General features: G+C 38.4%; 1 long non-coding RNA gene across 1 annotated transcript in view, besides 1 other annotated feature; it reads right to left on the bottom strand.

The window, feature by feature from the left end:
• Positions 2,232 to 2,731: an enhancer, noted in NCBI's record as "H3K27ac hESC enhancer chr5:7162929-7163428 (GRCh37/hg19 assembly coordinates)". NCBI's record gives its function as "activates a minimal SCP1, AML or CMV promoter by ChIP-STARR-seq in primed H9 embryonic stem cells {active_cell/tissue: H9 hESC(primed)}" and the evidence as "EXISTENCE:reporter gene assay evidence [ECO:0000049][PMID:30033119]".
• The window catches only part of LINC02196 (long intergenic non-protein coding RNA 2196), a 114,548-nt gene continuing 107,903 nt past the window's right edge, over positions 14,519 to 21,163 (bottom strand). Inside the window, exons 2-3 of the long non-coding RNA XR_001742592.2 lie at positions 16,733 to 16,779; positions 14,519 to 14,743 (exon numbers count right to left, since the gene is read on the bottom strand). This is a non-coding gene — a long non-coding RNA (long intergenic non-protein coding RNA 2196). The remainder of the gene's footprint in view (positions 14,744 to 16,732; positions 16,780 to 21,163) is intronic.

Below are 21,163 nucleotides of genomic sequence, written 5' to 3'. Positions count from 1 at the left end.
GTGGAATCTTTGGATACTGCGAAACAGATGTTTTATGCTGGACCAAACCTTTTATGAATTTAAATAAAGTTTTTGAACTTGTAAAGCTGAAATCCAATCCCTAGACAAAAGGTAACAAACTTGCATTCCTACAGGAGCAGGCAGTTGAGTGCATGAATAGTGGGCAGGTTGGTACCTACTGCAAACTGAAAGGAAAGGGAACCACTGTTTGCTTTGAGCCAGTGGTGACCCTCTGGGGATTTAAGACCTCTCTGTGGTCAGATCCTCTGATTTCCAAGAGGAGATAAATATCCAAGTTGTTACGTGAATACTCCTAATATTTAAATGTTAGTACAAACTTTCTGTAATCATCAGTTGGGATAAAGAAAACCTACCTGGAAGCAGGACTTGGCCTGCGGATAAAAAGGAGGTGATTCTGCACTAGCCTTGTTCTAAAAGGAAGCAGTCCTGTTTGGATTTCAGGAAGCCTTCTTTGCTTACCAACATTGTGTCTCTAATCTAAAAATGACCAACAGGTCTCATGTATTCAGAAGAAATTGTACAGTTCAGTTAGTTTCCCATCTTTAATCCTAGATAAGTTAGCAGTAGGTATCAAAATAAATAAATATGAACACAATTACAAATAATACTTTCTGTACACATGTATAATTTTATAATTATATATTCATACTTGCACAACTGGAGAGTCTTTTCATCCCAAGGAACCTAAATCATTTTCCCTGTTTTGTTATTTTGAGTTAGAAATGTTAAGACACAAAGATCTGCAGTGGCTTTTCCAACCATAAAGAGTCTCCCATGTGTGCTGTCAGATATAATACTTCTAGACAATCTGCAAGGTCATCTTTCTCTGTTGTAACACATAAAAAGGGAGATGAATTCAACTCTTTTAATAAATGGGATGGATGTTTTCCAAAGAAGAGTTCACAGCAATGCCTTTGTAATGATCTCAATATCTCATTGTGTCTCAATGCCCATAGAGCTTTTCACTGATCCTATCAATTAACCTCTCCATGGGTATGTGTTCTTGCTCATCTGTTTGATCTGAAATAATAGCGATGTCTTTACAAATTGTCTAGATCAATCATTGCCTCATCTGTGTTTTCTGCCTCATGTGCTGCCCAAATATTGTCTTGTTTTACTTTATGTACAATAACAATATAAAGAAATAAAATCAGTCTTATTTGCCAAAAATCTCAAAATGAGGCAGAGTGTGGGGGTTCTTACTTAACTCTTGATTCAGTGATGGATCTTAGAGGGATTGCCTCATTTCACCTTTCTAATGATGAAAGTTAGTTAGTTAGCTCATGAGGTGGTGTTTATAAGCCAGGGTGGATATGTTGGGAGAAAGAAGTCAAACTCAAGAGCTTTCACTTCAGTCTCCTGGTCTACACAGGGTGCAGAGTGGAGGTGGGGATGAGAAAGGATGGTCCATAACCTCTCTGCCTCAATTTCTTTCTGTTATAGTTGACCAAACAAACTACAGATTATATTTTAGACTGTATTTCTCTCTTCATTACCTCCTTATCAATACCTTCTTTTGTTCTTAAGCAGCCAATATGGTGAGGCTCTTTCAACCCTTGTCATAATCTGAAGTATCTGGAAAAAAATTTATGTGGAAATATTAGTAATATAGTGGAATAATTATCACCAAACTTGAACTTTAAGAGTGTGAAATGGAGAATTATATAATTTAGTAAAATTACTGCCTAACAGTTATATCTCTGCCACTATGGTTCTTAGATGAAGTAGAAAGGGAGAGAACGAGAGAGAGAGAGAGTGAAAGTATCGTCTTAGGATTAGCTTATATCTTGTTGAAAATCAGATCATGGGCCAGGCAGGGTGGCTCATGCCTATAATCCTAGCACTTTACCAGGCCAAAGTGGGAGGATAGCTTGAGCTCAAGAGTTCAAGACCAGTGTGGGCAACACGGTGGAATCTAATCTCTACAAAAAGTAAAAATTAAAAAATTAGCTGGGCATGGTGACATAGCCAGGTGTAGTGACATATGCCTTGATACTTGGGAGGCTGAGGTAGGAGGATTATTTGAGCCCAGGAGTTCCAGACTGCAGTGAGCCATGATTAGGCCACTGTACTCCAGCCTTGGGGACAGAGTGGGACTCTCTGTCTCAAAAAGAAATCAGACCATGAAGATAACAACTTTCTTAAAAATCCACAGCAAAAAGACAAATAATAAGACTCTTGACCAAATTTTATCAAGTCAAGTCAGCAAAGCAGCATTTCTGCTAAACTGTGTGCTAACTGACAAGTACAATGGCAGTTAAAGACCCAACATGAAGGAGGGCTGGCAGGATGGCCAAATAGAAACAGCTCTGGTCTGCAGCTCCTAGCGAGACCAACACAGAAGGCGGATGTTTTCTGTATTTCCAACTGAGGTATCCGGTTCATCTCATTGGGACTGGTTAGACAGATGGCCAACAGAAGCAGGGTGGGGCATCAGCTCACCAGCAACATGCAAGGGGCCAGGGAACTCCCTCCCCTAGCCAAGGGAAGCCATGAGGGACTGTGCCATGAAGGATGGTGCTATTTGCCCAGATACTATGGTTTTCCCATGGTCTTCACAACCTGCAGACCAGGAGATTCCCTCAGGTGCATACACCACCATGGCCCTGGGTTTCAAGCATAAAACTGGGCAGCCATTTGGGCAGACACTGAGGTAGTTGCAGGATTTTTTTTCATACCCCAATAGCGCCTGGAATGCCAGCAAGACAGAACCATTCACTCCCCTGGAAAGGGAGCTGAAGCTAGGGAGACAAGTGGTCTTGCTCAGCAGATCCCACCCCCATGGAGCCCAGCAAGCTAAGATCCACTGGCTTGAAATTCTTGCTGCCAGCACAGCAGTCTGAAGTTGACCTGGGATGCTCAAGCTTGGTGCGGGGAGGGGTGTCTGCCATTACTGAGGCTTGAGTAGGCAGTTTTCCCCTCACGGTGTAAACAAAGCCACCAGGAAGTTCGAACTGAGCAAAACCCACCGTAGCCTGGCAAAGCCACTATAGCCAAACTCCCTCTCTAGATTCCTCCTCTCAGGCCAGGGCATCTCTGAAAGAAAGGCAGCAGCCCCAGTCAGGGGCTTATAGGTAAAACTCCCATCTCCCTGGGACAGAGGACCTGGGGGAAGGGGCAGCTGTGAGCACAGCTTCAGCAAACATAATGTTCCTCCCTGATGGCTCTGAAGAGAGCAGCAGATCTCTCAGCACAGCACTTGAGCTCTGCTAAGGGACAGACTGCCTCCTCAAGTGGGTCCCTGAGCCCCGTGCCTTCTGACTTGGAGGCACCTCCCAGCAGGAGTCGACAGACACCTCATACAGGACAGCTCTGGCTGGCATCTGGCGGGTGCCTCTCTGGGATGAAGCTTCCCAAGGAAGAAGCAGGGAGCAATCTTTGCTGTTCTGCAGCCTCTGCTGGTGATACCCAGGCAAACAGGGTCTGGAGTGGACCTCCAGCAAACGTGCAGCAGAGGGGCCTGTTAGAAGGAAAACTAACAAACAGAAACCAATAACATCAACATGAACAACAAGGACACCAACGCAAAAACCCCATCCGACGGTCACCGACATCAAAGATCGAAGGTAGATAAATTCACAAAGATGAGGAAAAACCAGCGCAAAAATGCAGAAAATTCCAAAAAGCAGAATGCCTCTTCTCCTCCAAAGGATCACAAATCCTCACCAGCAAGGGAAAAAACTGGATGGAGAATGAGTTTGATGAGTTGACAGAAGTAGGCTTCAGAAGGTGGGTAATAACAAACTCCTCTGAGCTAAAGGAGCATGTTCTAACCCAACACAAGGAAGCTAAGAACCTTGATAAAAGGTTACAGTAACTGCTAACTAGAATAACCAGTTTAGAGAAAAACATAAATGACCTGATAGAGCTGAAAAACACAACATGAGAACTTCGTGAAGCATACACAAGTATCAATAGCTGAATCAATCAAGTGGAAGAAAGAATATCAGAGATTGAAGATCAACTTAATGAAATAAAGCATGAAGACAAGATTAGAGAAACGCAAAGGAATGAACAAAGCCTCAAAAAAATATGGAACTATGTGAAAAGACCAAATCTACATTTGATCGGTGTACCTGAAAGTGACAGGAAGAATGTAACTAAGTTGGAAAACACACTTTAGGATATTATCCAGGAGAACTTCCCCAACCTAGCAAGACAGGCCAACATTCAAATTCAGGAAATACAGAGAACACCACAAAGATACTCCTTGAGAAGAGCAACCCCAAGACACATAATCGACAGGTTCACCAAGGTCAAAATGCAGGAAAAAATGTTAAGGGCACCCACAGAGAAAGGTTACCCACAAAGGGAAGCCCATCAGACTAAGAGCAGATCTCTCCACAGAAACCCTACAAGCCAGAAGAGAGTGGGGGCCCATATTCAACATTCTTAAAGAAAAGAATCTTCAACCCAGAATTTCATATGCAGCCAAACTAAGCTTCATAAGTGAGAGAAATAAAATCCTTTACAGACAAGCAAATGTTGAGGGATTTTGTCACCACCAGGCCTGCCTTTCAAGAGCTCCTGAAGGAAGCACTAAATGTGGAAAGGAAAAACCGGTACCAGCCACCGCAAAAACATACCAAAGTGTAAAGACCATAGATGCTATGAAGAAACTGCATCAACTAATGTGCAAAATAACCAGCTAGCATCATAATGACAGGATCAAATTCACACATTAAAATATTAGCCTTAAATGTAAATGGGCTAAATGCCCCAGTTAAAAGACACACAGTGGTAAACTGGATAAAGAGTCAAGACCCATCCGTGTGCTGTATTCAGGAGACCTATCTCACATGCAAAGACACACATAGGCTCAAAATAAAGGGATAGAGGAATATTTACCAAGCAATGGAAAGCAAAGAAAAGCAGGGGCTACAAGCCTAGCTCTGATAAAACAGACTTTAAACCAACAAGGATGAAAAAAGACAAAGAAGGGCATTACATAATAGTAAAGGGATCAACGCAACAAGAAGAGTTAACTATCCTAAATATATATGCCCCCAATACTGGAGCACCCAGATTAATAAAGCAAGTTCTTAGAGACCTAAAAAGAGATGTAGACTCCCTCACAATAATAGTAGGAGACTTTCACACCCCACTGTCAGTACTGGACAGATCAATGAGACAGAAAATTAACAAGGATATTCAGAACTTGAACTCAGCTCTGGACCAAGTGGACCTAATAGACATCTACAGAACTCTCCACCCCAAATTAACAGAATATACATTCTTCTCAGCACCACATCATACTTATTCTAAAATTGACCATATAATTGGAAATAAAACACTCCTCAGCAAATGCAAAAGAACAGAAATCATAACAAACAGTCTCTCAGAACAAAGTACAAGCAAATTAGAACTCAAGATTAAGAAACTCACTCAAAACCACACAACTACATGAAAACTGAACAAACTGCTCCTGAATGACTACTGGGTAAGTAACGAAATGAAGGCAGAAATAAATAAGTTCTTTGAAACCAATGAGAACAAAGACAAAACGTACCAGAATCACTGGAACACAGATAAAACAGTGTTTACAGGGAAATTTATAGCACTAAATGCCCACATGAGAAAGCGGGAAAGATCTAAAGTTGACACCCTAACATTACAATTAAAAGAACTAGAGAAGCAAGAGCAAACAAATTAAAAAGCTAGCAGAAAACACAAAATAACTAAGAGCAGAAGTGAAGGAGATAGAGACACGAAAAACCCTTCAAAAAATCAATGAATCCAGGAGCTGGGTTTTTTAAAAGATCAACAAAATAGACTACTAGCCAGACTAATAAAGAAGAAAAGAGAGAAGAATCAAATAGACACAATAAAAAATGATAAAGGGGATATCACCAATGATCCCACAGAAATACAAACTACCATCAGAGAATACTATGAACACCTGTATGCAAACAAACTAGAAAATCTAGGCTGAGCACAATGATTCATGCCTGTAATCCCAGCATTTTGGGAGGCTGAGGCAGGTGGGTCACAAGGTCAGGAGTTTGAGACCAGCCTGACCATCAGGGTGAAATCCCGTCTCTACTAAAAATACAAAAATTAGCTGGGCACGGTGGAACATGCCTGTAATCCCAGCTTCAGGAGGCTGAGGCAGGAGAATTGCTTGAACCTGGGAGGCGGAGGTTGTAGTGAGTCGAGATCAGATGGAAAGGACCTCTTCAGGGAGAACTACAAACCACTGCTCAAGGAAATAAGAGAGGACACAAACAAATGGAAAAACATTCCATGCTCATGAATAGGAAGAATCAATATCATGAAAATGGCCATACTGCCCAAAGTAATTTATAGATTCAATGCTGCTCCCATCAAGCTACCATTGACTTTCTTCACAGAATTAGAAAAAACTACATTAAATTTCATGTGGAACCAAAAAGAGCTTGTATTGCCAAGATAATCCTAAGCAAAAAGAACAAAGCTGGAGGCATCGTGGTACCTGACTTCAAACTATACTACAAGGCTACAGTAACCAAAACAGCATGGTGCTGGTACCAAAACAGATATATAGACCAATGGAACAGAACAGAGGCCTCAAAAATAATGCCACACAGCTACAAGCATCTGATATTTGACAAACCTTACAAAAACAAGAAATGGGGAAGGAATTCCCTATTTAATAAATGGTGCTGGGAAAACTGGCTAGCCATATGTAGAAAGCTGAAACTGGATCCCTTCCTTACACCTTATACAAAAATTAATTCAGGATGGATTAAAGATTTAAATATAAGACCTAAAACCATAAACACCCTAGAAGAAAAACTAGGCAATACCATTCAAGACATAGGCATGGGCAAAGACTTCATGACTAAAACAACAAAAGCAACTGCAACCAAAGTTAAAATTGACAAATGGGATCTAATTAAACTGCACAGCAAACAAACTATCATCAGGGTGAACAGGCAACCTACAGAATGGGAGAAAATTTTTGTAATCTATCCATCTAACAAAGCGCTAATATCCAGAATAAACAAGGAACCTAAACAAATTTACAAGAAAAAAAATAAACAACCCCATCAAAAAGTGGGAAAAGGGTATAAACAGACACTTTTCAAAAGAAGACATCTATGTGGCCAACAAACATATGAAAAAAAAAAAAAGCTCATCATCACTGGTCATTAGAGAAATGCAAATCAAACCCACAATGAGATACTATCTCACGCCAGTTAGAATGAGCCTGCTTACATGCCCAGTACATTGCTACTTGAACCAACATTTGAGAAAGCCATCACACAAAGGCTATCTATAACCCAAGGAAATCATACAGAGCCTTGGTCCCTGGAAAACACCCAGAATCAAAGCCAAATGACCTACACAACATACATTAACAGTCACATTCTCAAGGAGGAAAGATAAAAATTTTTAAAGTCCAATTCGAACAAAAGTAAATTCAAAAATAAAAAAGTCAGCTTCTGCAGATAAGAAGGAACCAGTGTAAGAACACCATGAATATGAAAAAAACCCAGTGTTTCAACACTTCCAAAAGATCACACTAGTTCTTCAACAATGGATCCAAACCAAAATGAAAATTCTGAAATGACAGGTAAATAATTAAAATGTGAATTGTAAGTTCAATGAGGTCCCAGAGAAATTTGAAAACCAACACAAAGAATTCAGTAAAACAATTAAAGATATGAATGAAAAAATGTATGTAAGAGATACTTTTTAAAAGATCATGCAGAATTTCTGAAAATAAAAAATTCACTGAAGAATTACAAAATACAGTTGAAAGCTTAACAATAAACTAAACCATTCTGAAGAAGGAATTTCAGAACTTGATGACAATTCTTTCAAATTAACCCAGTCAAACAAAAATGAGGAAAAAAATTTAAAAAACAATAAAAGTCTTTGAGTAATATGCAATTATTTAAAGCAACCAAACCTTTGAGTTTCTGAGGGAGAAGAAGAAAAAGTAAAGAGCTTGGAAAATCTATTTAAGGGACAAATTCAGGAAAAATTCCCTAGTCTTGCTAGAGATTTAGACAGTGAGATAAAAGAACTGCAGAAAACTTGTGGAAGACTCTTAGCCATAAAAACCTCACCAAGGCAAATAGTCACTAGACTATTCAAAGTCAACATGAAGGAAAAATAAATCCTAAATCAGCAAGAAAAAAGTGTCTAATCATGTGTAAAAGAAATCCCATCAGACTAACAATCAACTTCTTAGTAAAAACCTTATAAGCCAGAAGAGATTGAAGTCTTATTTTCAGTCTTCTGAAAGAAAAAAAAACTGCCAGCCAAGCATTTTATATCTTGCTAAACTAATTATCATAAATGAAGGGGAAATAAAATCTTTCCCAGACAAGCAAATGCTAAGGAAATTAATCACCACTAAATTTGACCTACAAGGAATGTTCAAAGGAGTTCTAAACATGGAAACAACAGGGCAATACTCATCATCATAAAAGCACATGAAAGTATGAAACTGATCTTACGAAGCAATCACACAATTGAGACCACAGAGCAGCCAAGGAACAATTAACATTATGACAGGAATAAAACCTCATATATCAATATGTAAATATTGAATGTAAATGGACTAAATGGTCCATTTAAAAGATATGGACTGGTGGAATTGATTTAGAAAACAGGATCCAACCATATGCTGCCTGCAAGAAACTCACCTAAAGGGTAAAGACATTTACAGACTCAAAGTAAAAGGGTGGAAAAAGAAATTTCATGCAAATTGAAGCTAAAAGTGAGCAGGGGTACCTACGCTTTATCAGATAAAACAGTCTTTGAATCAACAACAGTGGGAAAATACAAAGAAGATAATTATATAATGATAAAGAAATCAATTCCATGAGAAGACATAATAATCCTAAATATAAATGCACCCAACACTAAAGCACCCAGATTCATATAACAAATACTACTAGACCTAAAAAAAGAGATAGACAGCAATACAATAATAGGAAAAAACTTCGACATCCCACTGGCAGCACTAGACAAATCATTGAGACAAAACATCAACAAAGAAAATCCAGATTTAAATTGTACTCTAGACCAAATGGACCTAACAAATTTTTACAGAACATTCTACACAAAAACCACAGAATATACATTCTTTTCATCTGCACATGGAACTTTCTCCAAAACAGACCATACACTAGACCACAAGGTAAGTCTAAATACATTTTTTTAAAATGAAAATTATATCAAATATCTTCCTGGACCACACTAAAATAAAACTAAAAATCAATACCAAAAGGAACTCTCAAAACTATAGCAATAAATGAAAATTAAACAACCTGTTCCTGAATGATGATTGGGTCAATGATGAAATTAAGACAGAAAGTAAAAAGTGTTTTTAAATGAATAAAAATAGAGACCAAATATACCAAAATCTCTGAGATACAGCAAAAGCAGTGCTAAAAGAAGTGTATAGCACTAAATGCTTACATTAAAAAGATAGAAAGATGACAAGTTAACAATCTAATGTTGCACCTAAAGAAACTAGAAAAACAAGAGCAAATCAAACCCAAAGCTAGCAGGAGCAAAGAAATAACAAGGATCAGGGCAGAACTAAATGATATTAATACAAAAGAAAAGGATCAAGAAAATGAAAAGTTACTTCTTTGAAAAGATAAACAAAATTAATAGGCTACTAGCTAGATTAGCCAAGAAAAAAAGAAAAGATTCAAATAAGCACCATCAGCAATGATAAAAATGACATTATAGCCGATGCCACAGAAATACAAAAGATCATCATCAGAAAATACTATGATCATATCTACACACACAAACTAGAAAACCTAAAGGAAATGCATAAATTCTTAGCAACATACAACTTCCCAAGATTAAACAAGAAAGAAACACAAATCCTTAACTGACCAATAATGAGTAGTGAAAATAAATCAGTAATAAAAGATCTCCCAAGAACAATAAAAAGAGCAAAGGACCAAATGGATTCACAGCCAAATTTTACTAGATGTACAAAGAACTGGTACCAATCCTACCGATAGTATTCCCAAAAAATCAAGGAGAAGGGAATCCTCCCTAATTCACTCTGTGGAGCCAGCGTCACCTTGATACCAAAGCTAGACAAGGACACAACAACAACAACCAAAACCTATAGGCCAACATCCCTGATAAATACAGCTGCAAAAATCCTTAAAAAAAAAAATACTAGCAAACCAAATCCAACAGCACGTCAAAAAGATACACCATGATTGAGTGGTATTTATTCCAGGAATGCAAAGATGGGTCAACATATGGAAATCAATAAATATGATTCAGCAAATAAAAATAATTAAAATTTAAAACCATATGATCCTCTTAATAGATGCAGAAAAGTATTCAATAAAATTCATTATCCCTTCATGATAAAACCCTCAACAAACTAGACATCAAAGGAAAATACCTTAAATTAATAAAACGTATACATGACAAATCCACAGCCAATATCATATTAAATGGGGAAAAGCTGAAAGCATTCCCCCAAGAACTGGAGCAAGATAAGAATGCTAGCTTTCACCACTCCTATTCAACATAGTACTAGAAGTTTTAACTAGAGCAATCTAGCAAGTGAAAGAAATAAGAGTTACTGTTTGCTCCATGATACAATCTTATACCTAGAAAACTCCAAAGACTCCTCCAACAGACTCCTAAGTTTTATAAATGACTTCAGTAAAGTTTCAGGATACAAAATCAATGGTATTTTTATACATCAATAAAGATCATGCTCAGAACCAAAACAAAAGCTCATCCCATTTACAATAGCTACAAAACAATAAAATCACTAGAAATACATTTAACCAAGTAGGTGAAAGATCTCTATGAGAAGAACTACAAAACACTGATGAAAGTAATAGTGGATGACACAAACAAATGGAAAATCATTCCATGCTCATGGATTGAAAGAATCAATATCATTAAAATGACCATATTATCCAAAGCCATCCACAGATTCAATGCAATTTCTATCAAATTACTAGTGTCATTTTTCACAGAATTAGAAGAAACAATTCTAAAATTTATATGGAATCATAAAAGAGCCTGAATAGCCAAAGCAATCCTAAGCAAAAAGAACAATATGGAAGGCATTACATTACCTGACTATAAATTATACTACAAGGCTACAGTAATCAAAACAGCATGATACTGTGCATAAAAATAGACACATAAATCGGTGGAACAGAATAGCAAACCCAGAAATAAAGCCACATACCCTCAACCAACGGATATTCAACTAAGTTGAAGGATACCTTGTGCAAAGGACACCCTATTTAATAAACAGTGTTGGGAAAACTGGATAACCATGTGCAGAAGAATGAAACTAGATCCCTATCTCTAACTATATACAAAAATTAACTCAAGATGGATTAAATACTTAAATGTAATACCCGAAACTATAAAAATTCCAGAAGAAAACCTAGGAAAAATTCTTCTGGACATTGGCATAGGCAGGTAATTTATGACCAAGACCTCAAAAGCAAGTGCAACAAATATAAAAATAGGCAAATGAGACTTAGTTAAAATAAAGCTTCTGCAAAGCAAAAGAAATAATCAACAGAGTAAACAGACAACCTACAGAACTGGAGAAAATATTTACAAACTATTCATCCAACAAAGCCCTAATATCCAGAATGTACAAGGAACTCAAACTACTCAACAAGAAAAAAAAACCCTATTAAAAAGCAGGCAAAAGACATGAAAAGACATTTTTCAAAAGAAGACATTCAAGCAGCTAACAAACATAAGAAAAAATGCTCAACATTACTAATCATCAGAGAAATGCAAATTAAAACTACAATGAGATTTCTCCTTCCACCAGTCAGAATGACTATTATTATAAAGTCTAAAGACAACAGATGTTGGGGAGTGTGCAGAGAAAAGGGAACAACTGTACACCATTTGTGGGAATGTATATTAGTACAATCTTTATGGAAAAGAGTATATCACAGCCCTATTCACAATTGCAAAATCTTGGAATCAACCTAAGTGTCCATCAACAGAGATTTGGTAAAGAAAATATATATATAAATTTTGTCTGAATTATTAAAAATCTTGTCTGAATTCATATTCCATTATATATATATGGAATAGTATTCAGCCATAAAATAACAAAATCATGGTTTCTGCAGCATCATGCATGGAACTAGAGGCCGTTATTCTAAGTAAAATCACTCAGAAATGGGAAGTCAAATGCCATGTTTTCTTCTGTAAGTGGGAACTAAACAATAGGTACACATGGACATACAGAGTAAAATAATAGACACTGGAGCTCTGAAGTTGGGAAGGTAGGAGAGAGGTGAGGGTTGAAAACTGCCTACTGAGTACGGTGTTCATTATTTGGGCAATGGGTACAACTAAAAGCCCAGACTTTGCCACTACACAGTATATCCGTATAACAAAACTGCACTTGTATCCCCTAAATGTATAACAACAAAACAATAAAATGGGGAAAATGATACTATACAAACAAGAGGGCTTCAAAAAGTTCATAGAAAATGTGCATTATAAAAAAACTATGCACGTATTTCAAAATTTTTTGCACCAAAATAAACTCATACTAACTTGTTATTACCTCACTGAATAGGATCTAGTTTGAGGCATTAGGAAGCATAAGGTATCAGTTTGAAAAGATTCCCTACCAAAGCAACATAAATTCTGCTAAAACTGGAGCAAAAACAAACACCAAATTTATGGTGAAGCTGGGGTTGAAGAATGGTAAAATCATTGACACTTTACAAAAAGCTTATGGAGGCAAGAGTCCCAAAGAAATCAGCAGTTTATAAATAGATAGCTTGTTTTAAGAAGACACAAGATGATGCTGAAAATGCGGCCCACAGAATCAGACCATTCACATCAATTTGCAAGGAAACAATTTAACTTTTTATGCCTTAATTGAAGAGCACCAATGATTAACAGCAGAAACAATAGCCAACATAGACATCTCAATTGGCTCAGTTTACACATTCTGGTTAAAAAATTAAAGTTAAACCAACTTTCTACTCAATGGGTGCCAGAACCATTGTGCCCAGGTCAACTGCAGACAAGAGCAGATCTTTCAATGGAAATTTTAAACAGGTGGTATCAAGATGCTGAAGCTTTTCTTTGAAGAATTGTAAGAAGAGATGAGACAAGGCTTTACTCATATGATCCTGAAGACAAAGCAAAATCAAAGCAATGGCTACCAAGAAGTAGAAGTGGTCCAGTCAAAGCTAAAGCAGACCAGTCAAGAGCAAACATCATGGCAACAGTTTTTTGTGATGCTCAAGGCGTTTTGCTTGTTGGCTTTCTGAAGGGCCAAAGAATGATAGCATCTGCTTATTATGAGAGTGTTTTGAAAAAGCCAAAATGTTAGCAGAAAAACGTCTGGGAAAGCTTCACCGTAAAGTTCTTCTCCATGACAACAATGCTCTTGCTCAGTCTTCTCATCAACAAGGGCAATTTAGCAATAGTTTTTCTGGGAAGTCATTAGGAATCTACCTTACAGTTCTGATTTCGCTCCTTCTGACCCTCAGTTCTTTAGGGATGAACTAAATAGCTGGTATTATTGCTTACAAAAGTGTCTTGAGTTTGAGACTGGGCTGAGCAACACAGTGAGACCCCCATTTCTATAAAAATAAAAAATTAGCTGGATGTGCCTAACCGCACCTGCAGTCTCAGCTACTTGGGAGGCTGAGGTAGGAGAATTGATTGAACCCGGGAGGTTGAGGCTGCAGTGAGCTATGATTGCACCACTGCACTCCAGCCTGGGCAGCAGAGTGAGACCCTGTCTCAAAAAATAATAATCATAATTGTCTTTACCTTGATGGAGCTTATGTTGAATAATAAAGTTTATATTTTTTATTTTTATCTTTTAATTATATTTTCCATTAACTTTTTAAAATCCCCTCATTTAAGAGGGTTCTTTTGAGAATTAAATGAATTAATTAATGTAAATGCTTATAAGAATGCCAGGCATTTATTAAACACTGTATAAACCTCAGCTATTATTATTAAGATCATATATACTTGTAAGACAGGTGATTAACTTGTTAAAAGTAACTTGTGGAAGTTCCAGATTGCTGATAAATTAGCACTGGGAATTACCGTATTTTATATACGTGCCTTGCTATTTTTCAGATCTGGGAGAAAGTACAAAATTCGTCCAAGAACAACTTTCTAATAACTTATTATGATTGATAGAATCTTCTTGGAATAATCCAGTGGCTGACTAGTCATCTGACCAACTGATAAATGCAATTTGTAATCAATAACAAGCATCCTCCAGTTGATGTAATTTACAATGTTATTTGTTAGCTGGATGAGTTTGGAAAAGTTACCTAACCTCTCTGAACATCTGTAAAATTGAGATGTGGTATGTGGCATCACAGATGGACAATTATATGAAAACTGTAGAGTCTGGATGTGGTTGTTCACACCTGTAGTCCCAGCCACCCAGGAAGCTGAGGAAAAAAGATTGCTCAAGTCCAGGAGTATGAGTCCAGCCCTGGCAACATAGTGAGACCTCATATAGTCCATGTAAGCCACTTACCAGCTTCTAGTGGATAGATTCATCACCAGATAGTCCTGATTTGAACTCTCGGTTCTGAAGAAGTCAGGGATCCCTGTTGTATAACTGCCCCAGAGATGGTGAACTGTTACGGGAACTCTTCACATCATAAGTGTCTTCATTGGAGCCAACCCGTCTTCCTCCTTTCCCTTGGGAAATTATTGCTGCTATATTACTCAGAGTCCAGCCAGGGAAACAGAAGCCACTCTAAATATGTACAACAACAAAAAAGAGGATTTAATTTGGGAGAATGGTAACTTGATAATGAAAGAAGTTGAGAGGCCAACAGGACATTGTGGGGAGACCCAGCTATTGGCAAACACATGAAGTCACTCCCACCGCTAGGCTTGGCTGACCTAGGGAGGAGGCAACACTGTGAGTCCAGAGACAGGAGTGGGGCCACCAAGTCCTCTCTGGTGGGATCTGGTGCTGCAGTCAAGGCTGAGACCACACCTGTTCTCTTCTTTCCACCCTTTTATCTCCTGCCATTGGCTGAACTAGGTCAGGAGCCATCTAAGCTGCCTCCAAGGCAGAGACTGAGGATGTGGAGGAGAACAGGCAATGGGATGGGACTGGGGGGAAACGGATAAGGGCTGGAGGATTGCCTGCTTACACTGTTAAATCAGTACAAACCCCTGTTCACCACAAAAGCCACACTCTGGAAACAGAAAGCTTCATTCAGTAGGTAGAGGTGTACAGGATAGATTTTATGTAGGAAAAAAATGTTATATATGGCAGCAAAGGCCTGATGGGATTTTATGCCTGATCTTTCAGCTCATATTTGGATTTTTCAAATGTTTAGGGTAAATATAACCTTAAAGAACTACAAAATTGTTCTTTTCTGGCTTCTAAAATGGTGTCAACAAAATATTCAATTAGTCTTTATTTTATAGAGGTGGCTAGCTTCCTCTAGATAAAAGTGTACAGAAATGATTTTCTGGTGGTTTACAGTGCTTTTACAGTGGTTTCTAGAAATGTATTTTCAAGCACTTTAGTTTTTTCCATAAAATACATAGGTTGGTCTATATGTGTGCAAAGTCAACTCTTTCAAAAAGTTAGTTCCCCCATGCCTTGCAAATTCTTGTAATCTACTATTGCTTTGTAATGATTCATCCCTTTGGTAATTCAATATTTATTCTTTAGCTTTGTTTGATATACAAATATGAATAAGAAATCTGCTGCCATAAAAATGTATAGTTTATTTAGCAAGGAATGTAGGACAAAAGAACAAGAAAATTATGACGTGAAAGTATAGTAAGGTAAAAAAGCAAGAAAATCCTAACATTTTCGACAATGTGGAACAACCAAGAGGACACAGGTTGAGTGAAATAAGCCAGGAATAGAAAGAAAAACACCACATGATCCTCATACATGGAATCTTAAAAAAACAAATTCATAGAAGCAGAAAGTAGAATGGTAGTTACCAGAAGCTGGGGGTGGGGAGAGACTGGGGAGAGGTTGGTCAAAGGATACAGAATTTCAGTTAGACATGGCCAACAAGTTACATAATCTCTCTAAGCCTTTCAGCATGATTTGTGGTGATAATTAGAGAATATGAAGCATCTACTGTAGGCCCCAACCTCCATTGTAAATACTTAAACAATGGAATACTTAAAAGATTCTGTAGAGATGGGAATTTGTATGTGTTTGTTGTGTATGGGAGAAATGAAGACCAAGAAAGATTTGGTTTCTCTAAACATATTATAAAATACTAACTGGTTCTTGATGCATAATCAACCAAAAATATTCAAATGTGGCCATAGAGATTTCTTGGTAACTCCTTCCTAGTGCTGGATAGGATGTAGGGCTATGAAGAAGGACACTGCACATCTCTCTGCATGAAATGGGAGAATCTCTCGTGGGGTCAGAACAGAAAAGCTTCCTTCTGGGGAACTAGGTCCTTTGCACCCGGTGGACCTGACAAATTGACACCACCGTTTAATGGAATAGGCTGGACTCTGCAGGCTACAATCCTGGAAACAAATAATTTTTGCAAATAGGCTTAGCCAGTTCTCCCTGTGCTGTGTATGAAAGATACCTTGGATGGATTCCGAAGATTTTGGGTTCCTTTCGGGTATTAGAACAGTCTCATTATCAGATATCATAACATTAATAAAATCTAAAAAAACTCCTGTTTTTCATTCACTTTTCTCTACACCAAAGAGAGGAAAATGTTTAGTCTTTCCTAGAATTTACCTTGCTGCTTCTCTTTTTTCATTGGATCCACCTTCAGGATATAGGGTCTGGGATAAGAGAAAGAAGAAATAGAAAAACATTAATACAAGACATTTTATTCAGCTGGTGCTTTTTAAAAATTATCTTGGCTACCAAAGGCTGTCAGGAGAGACATACCAAGGGTTCCCACCTCCTTAGGTGCTTGTGTGACTCTTTGTAGACACCCCTCTAGGAATCACAAACCTACGCAGTCTCATGAGCCAAGTGACGTCACCTCAGCAGGCCTCGTCAATGCTCTCTCAGCACCTCCCCGCTGAGGTCCCACCACACAGGCCCCTTGCACAGGCTCTTTCAAGGCTCCTTGGCTGCCCACCTTCCCAAGGCATAGCAGAAAAGGTAGCTTTCGCTGCAGCCCTCTTACCTGGAACCTCCATTGTAACAGCTCCACAGCCAGCTTCCCACCTTCAGTTTCTGGAGGCAAAGGGTAGATCCCAGTGTCTACACCCCCCAAACTTGGAGTGGGGACACCAGTTCAGCTATTGTGCTACATTTGAATAGCACCGTTTGAACAGGGTGGACTTGGAATAACCCATGGCTCAGCAGGCATCCAGCCAGGATGAGATGCTACCCTTCCTTTTTGCAAGCCACTCTCCTCCTCCCTCCTACCCCCATGTCCATCTTTTGGCTTGGGGAGGCTGGGAGGACACGAACATTGGAAGACGAAAGAAACAATGTCAACTTTCTACCTCTTTAAATGAATTTCTTCCACTGAAGCCTTGGTCTTCTCTTAGGTGGTTATTGGCGATGGTGTTCATGAGAATCAAGTTGGCCATCGCTGGGCAATTTGGTAGGAAAGTATCCAGTGCTTCCCTTTAGAATGTGGGCTAACTTATTACCCCATTATTCTCAGCTTCAAGACATTAGACAAAATTCAGGACAGCAAAAAGCTCTCAGTCTATGTTTGATTGCATTAGAAATGTACAAATTTTTCACTGCGGAAGCAAGAAAGCACAAAAATTCTGCAGCTCCCTGGGAGTAATGGTTTCATGCCTGGAGGGCTTTGACTGCTGAAGGCCTCGCCATTTTCTCTTTGCCTTGTATTTCCTGCAGCTCAGTGTCATCATTTATTTGTCTTTAATCTGTTGTTTCATGATCCTATGTTGAAATAAGGTAGGATTTAAATAAGTCCATAAATGTGACCACTAAATTTCAATCATCGGTTTTATAAAGCATAAATGAAGAATACAGCTATTATTATCTCCACTTTACAGGTGAGGACCTGGGGTAAAGTTAGTTTAAGTGAGTTGCTCGAGGTCACCAAGCTAGTGACTGGCATTCCAGATACAAACACTTTCGAGCTCTGGAGTCTGTGCCCCTAACTCTGTAATATAAATACAACTTAAAAGGAAAAATAAATGAGACATGGCCTTGATTATGTGCCTGACTCCATTGGGGGAGGTCTTGCTATGGAATGTTGTCCTTGTAGCATATTTGTTAAAACTTAGGTGCCCATAAAAGCATGAATTTAGCTTGAATCCTATTCCCTCTGTTGAGAACCCTTCCAGAGACTTAACTGAATACATAAAGTCTCCCTGGAAATCCATGGCCCTTTTATCCCTCCTGAGAGGTCAGGAGCTCCATGGCACAGCTTATCAAGTCAAATGCTCCAAGTCTCAGAACTTATGTGGGCTAGCTTCCTGGGCAGGTGGTTGGGATGGGGTGTGGCAAACTGGGAGCAAAATTCTTTGTATTGTCGCAGGCTCAGTAATGAAGAAAGACTTGTTTTTCCACTTTCAGTAGGGCTACTTTCATGTGAAATCTGTCTGCTTCTACATATATTTGGAAGAAGTTGAAAAATGTGGTATAATAAAATGTGCTTGGCATCTCCTAATTATTACAGCAAGAAGGTAAGAATAGCTTCTACCTGATCCAGATATCCTTCCCACTTTCGTTCTATTGAATGAATATCTACTTTATAGAAAAAAAAAAAGAACATTAAAAACCAGCTCCCGGCTATCCGCAATATGACCTGGGTTGTTCAATTAATTTGTTAAAAAAAATACACACGTGTCAGTTTTCTGGGGAAGTGGACAGAACATTTTTGTAGGACTCAGGAATCTAGATTTTAGTACAGTTTCTTCCACTGACAGATGATACCTTTAACTTAATTGCTATGAGACTGGAATTCTCAAATGTAAAATAGGAGAGAAGGACCAGGTCCAAGATTTTTAACTTTCTTTAACATCTATTTGAAAAATTTCAATCTTACAGAACAGTTGCAACTATAGTACAACTATATAAGCTCCAGGGTCCCATTTGCCTAGATTCATAGACTATTTATATTGTCACATTTGCTTCTTTCTCCTTATATAATAACAACAATAATAATGGGAGTATATAATTATTAATATTTGACAAACTACATGAGAGTAAGTTAGAGATCTTTTGCCTTTTAGGCCAAATACCCATACTTCTGTGTACATGAACAAGAGCAACCACTTCCAGAACCATAATGCAATTATCAAATTCAGAAAAATTTACATCAACATCATGGTGAGTGTAAATTAACCATAAGCCCAGCTGTAAAATTCCTCTCTTTGTACTCTTTCTCTTTATTTCTCAGACCAGCCGACACTCAGGGAAAATAGAACCTACATTGAAATATTGGGGGCTTTAATTCACAATCCATATTCAAATTCCACCAAATGTCTTAATAATGTACCTTGCAGCAGTTTTCCCCAGTTCTTAGTGGAGCCCAGGATCTCACTTTGGTATCAGTTGTCTTGCCTCCTTGATCTCCTTTAGTCTGAAGCACTTTCTCCTAATTCTTGGTCTTCCATGACATTGACCTTTTCGAAGAGTGCAGAGCAGAGATTTTATAAAACAGTCCTCAGTTTGAGTCAGTCTGAGGTTTCTTCATGCTCAGGTGGCACTGAGCATTTTGGGTGAGAAGACAGTGGGAGTGAAGATGTCTTTCTTGTACATCTCTTCAGGAGGCTGAAAGGCCAGTTTGTCTTGTTGGTGACATTCACTTTGCTGACTTGGTTAGAGAGGTGTCTACTGTGTTTCTTCACTGCAGAGTTAACATTTTTCCCTTTATATAAGTAGTAATTGATCCATGTGAAGACACCGTAAGGCTGGGTACATATTCTTTCCTCATGAAACGTGCATCAATGACTTAAGCTTTCTTTGATGAATCATGCAGGTAGCAATCAGTCTCGTGATGGATGTATAGATTTTTTTCATCCTTTCTTCTACATTTAAATATTGGTCTTCTGCTATAGGAAGAAGTTTCTCCTGTCCCATTTAGTGACTTATTGACCTGTCTATTTATTTTTTATCATTATGGACTTATGGTTCAAATTTTGATACAGACATGTTTTTAATTAATTACATAATGGACTGGCTCCCTAGTGAAGAAAAACACACACAGACACTAGCCAAAGTGCATATTTTTCTGGTGCTAATGGATCTTCGAAGTTTATTCATGGCCCAAACCCTCAGGTACCTTGAACTTTGTATAGTGACATTTCTGCCTCTACAATGCAATGATATTTCTGTCTCTGTTGAAATGACTTGAAAGGAAGCAGATAGTTGGCTTCAATTATAAAAGTTTCTTAGAATGATGGTTTCCAGCTTCATCCATGTCCCTACAAAGGACATGAACTCATCATTTTTTATGGCTGCATAGTATTCCACAGTGTATATGTGCCACATTTTCTTAATCCAGTCTATCACTGTTGGACATTTGGGTTAAAAACCAAATAACGCATGTTCTCACTCATAGGTGGGAATTGAACAATGAGAACACATGGACACAGGAAGGGGAACATCACACACTGGGGCCTGTTGTGGGTTGGGGGGAGGGGGGAGGGATAGCATTAGGAGATATACCTAATGTTAAATGACGAGTTAATGGGTGCAGCACACCAACATGGCACATGTATACATATGTAACTAACCTGCACGTTGTGCACATGTACCCTAAAACTCAAAGTATAATAAAAAAAAAGTTTCTTAGAAAGCAGGCTATTTGGTTTTTTCAGTGAATATTGCTGCAAAAGTGCTTTCATCCGTACCTTAAAAGCTTTGCAGTTTGACTTTAACGCTCAGAAAGTTAGAGAAACCCTCCCTTTGGCTCCTCCTTCAACCACCTTCAAGCCTCAGCTTTTGGGTCCCTGTTGCTTGGAGAATGGCGTGTGCAGGCTCTGTTGATTCTATCACAGATATGTGAGGCTCCAAGTCATGTTTCATTCTCAGGCTGTCTACTGCAGGAGACAGCAGGAAGAGATCTCCCAAGAGTGACCTCCACAAACTATGTCACATTTATGTGAAAGAAGGAGCAATATGGTCAATAGCAGAAGTAATTAGTGTCTCAGGCTCTGCAAATAGACAGACCTTATTTCCAGCCCCAGGTAGAAGTAGAAGTCTCTAGCCTCTGCCAGATAGGCC

This window comes from Homo sapiens, chromosome 5, assembly GCF_000001405.40.
Source record: "Homo sapiens chromosome 5, GRCh38.p14 Primary Assembly".
Taxonomy (NCBI): domain Eukaryota; kingdom Metazoa; phylum Chordata; class Mammalia; order Primates; family Hominidae; genus Homo; species Homo sapiens.
Note: the sequence above shows the minus strand (reverse complement) of the source record. Positions and strands in the feature narration are given on the sequence as shown.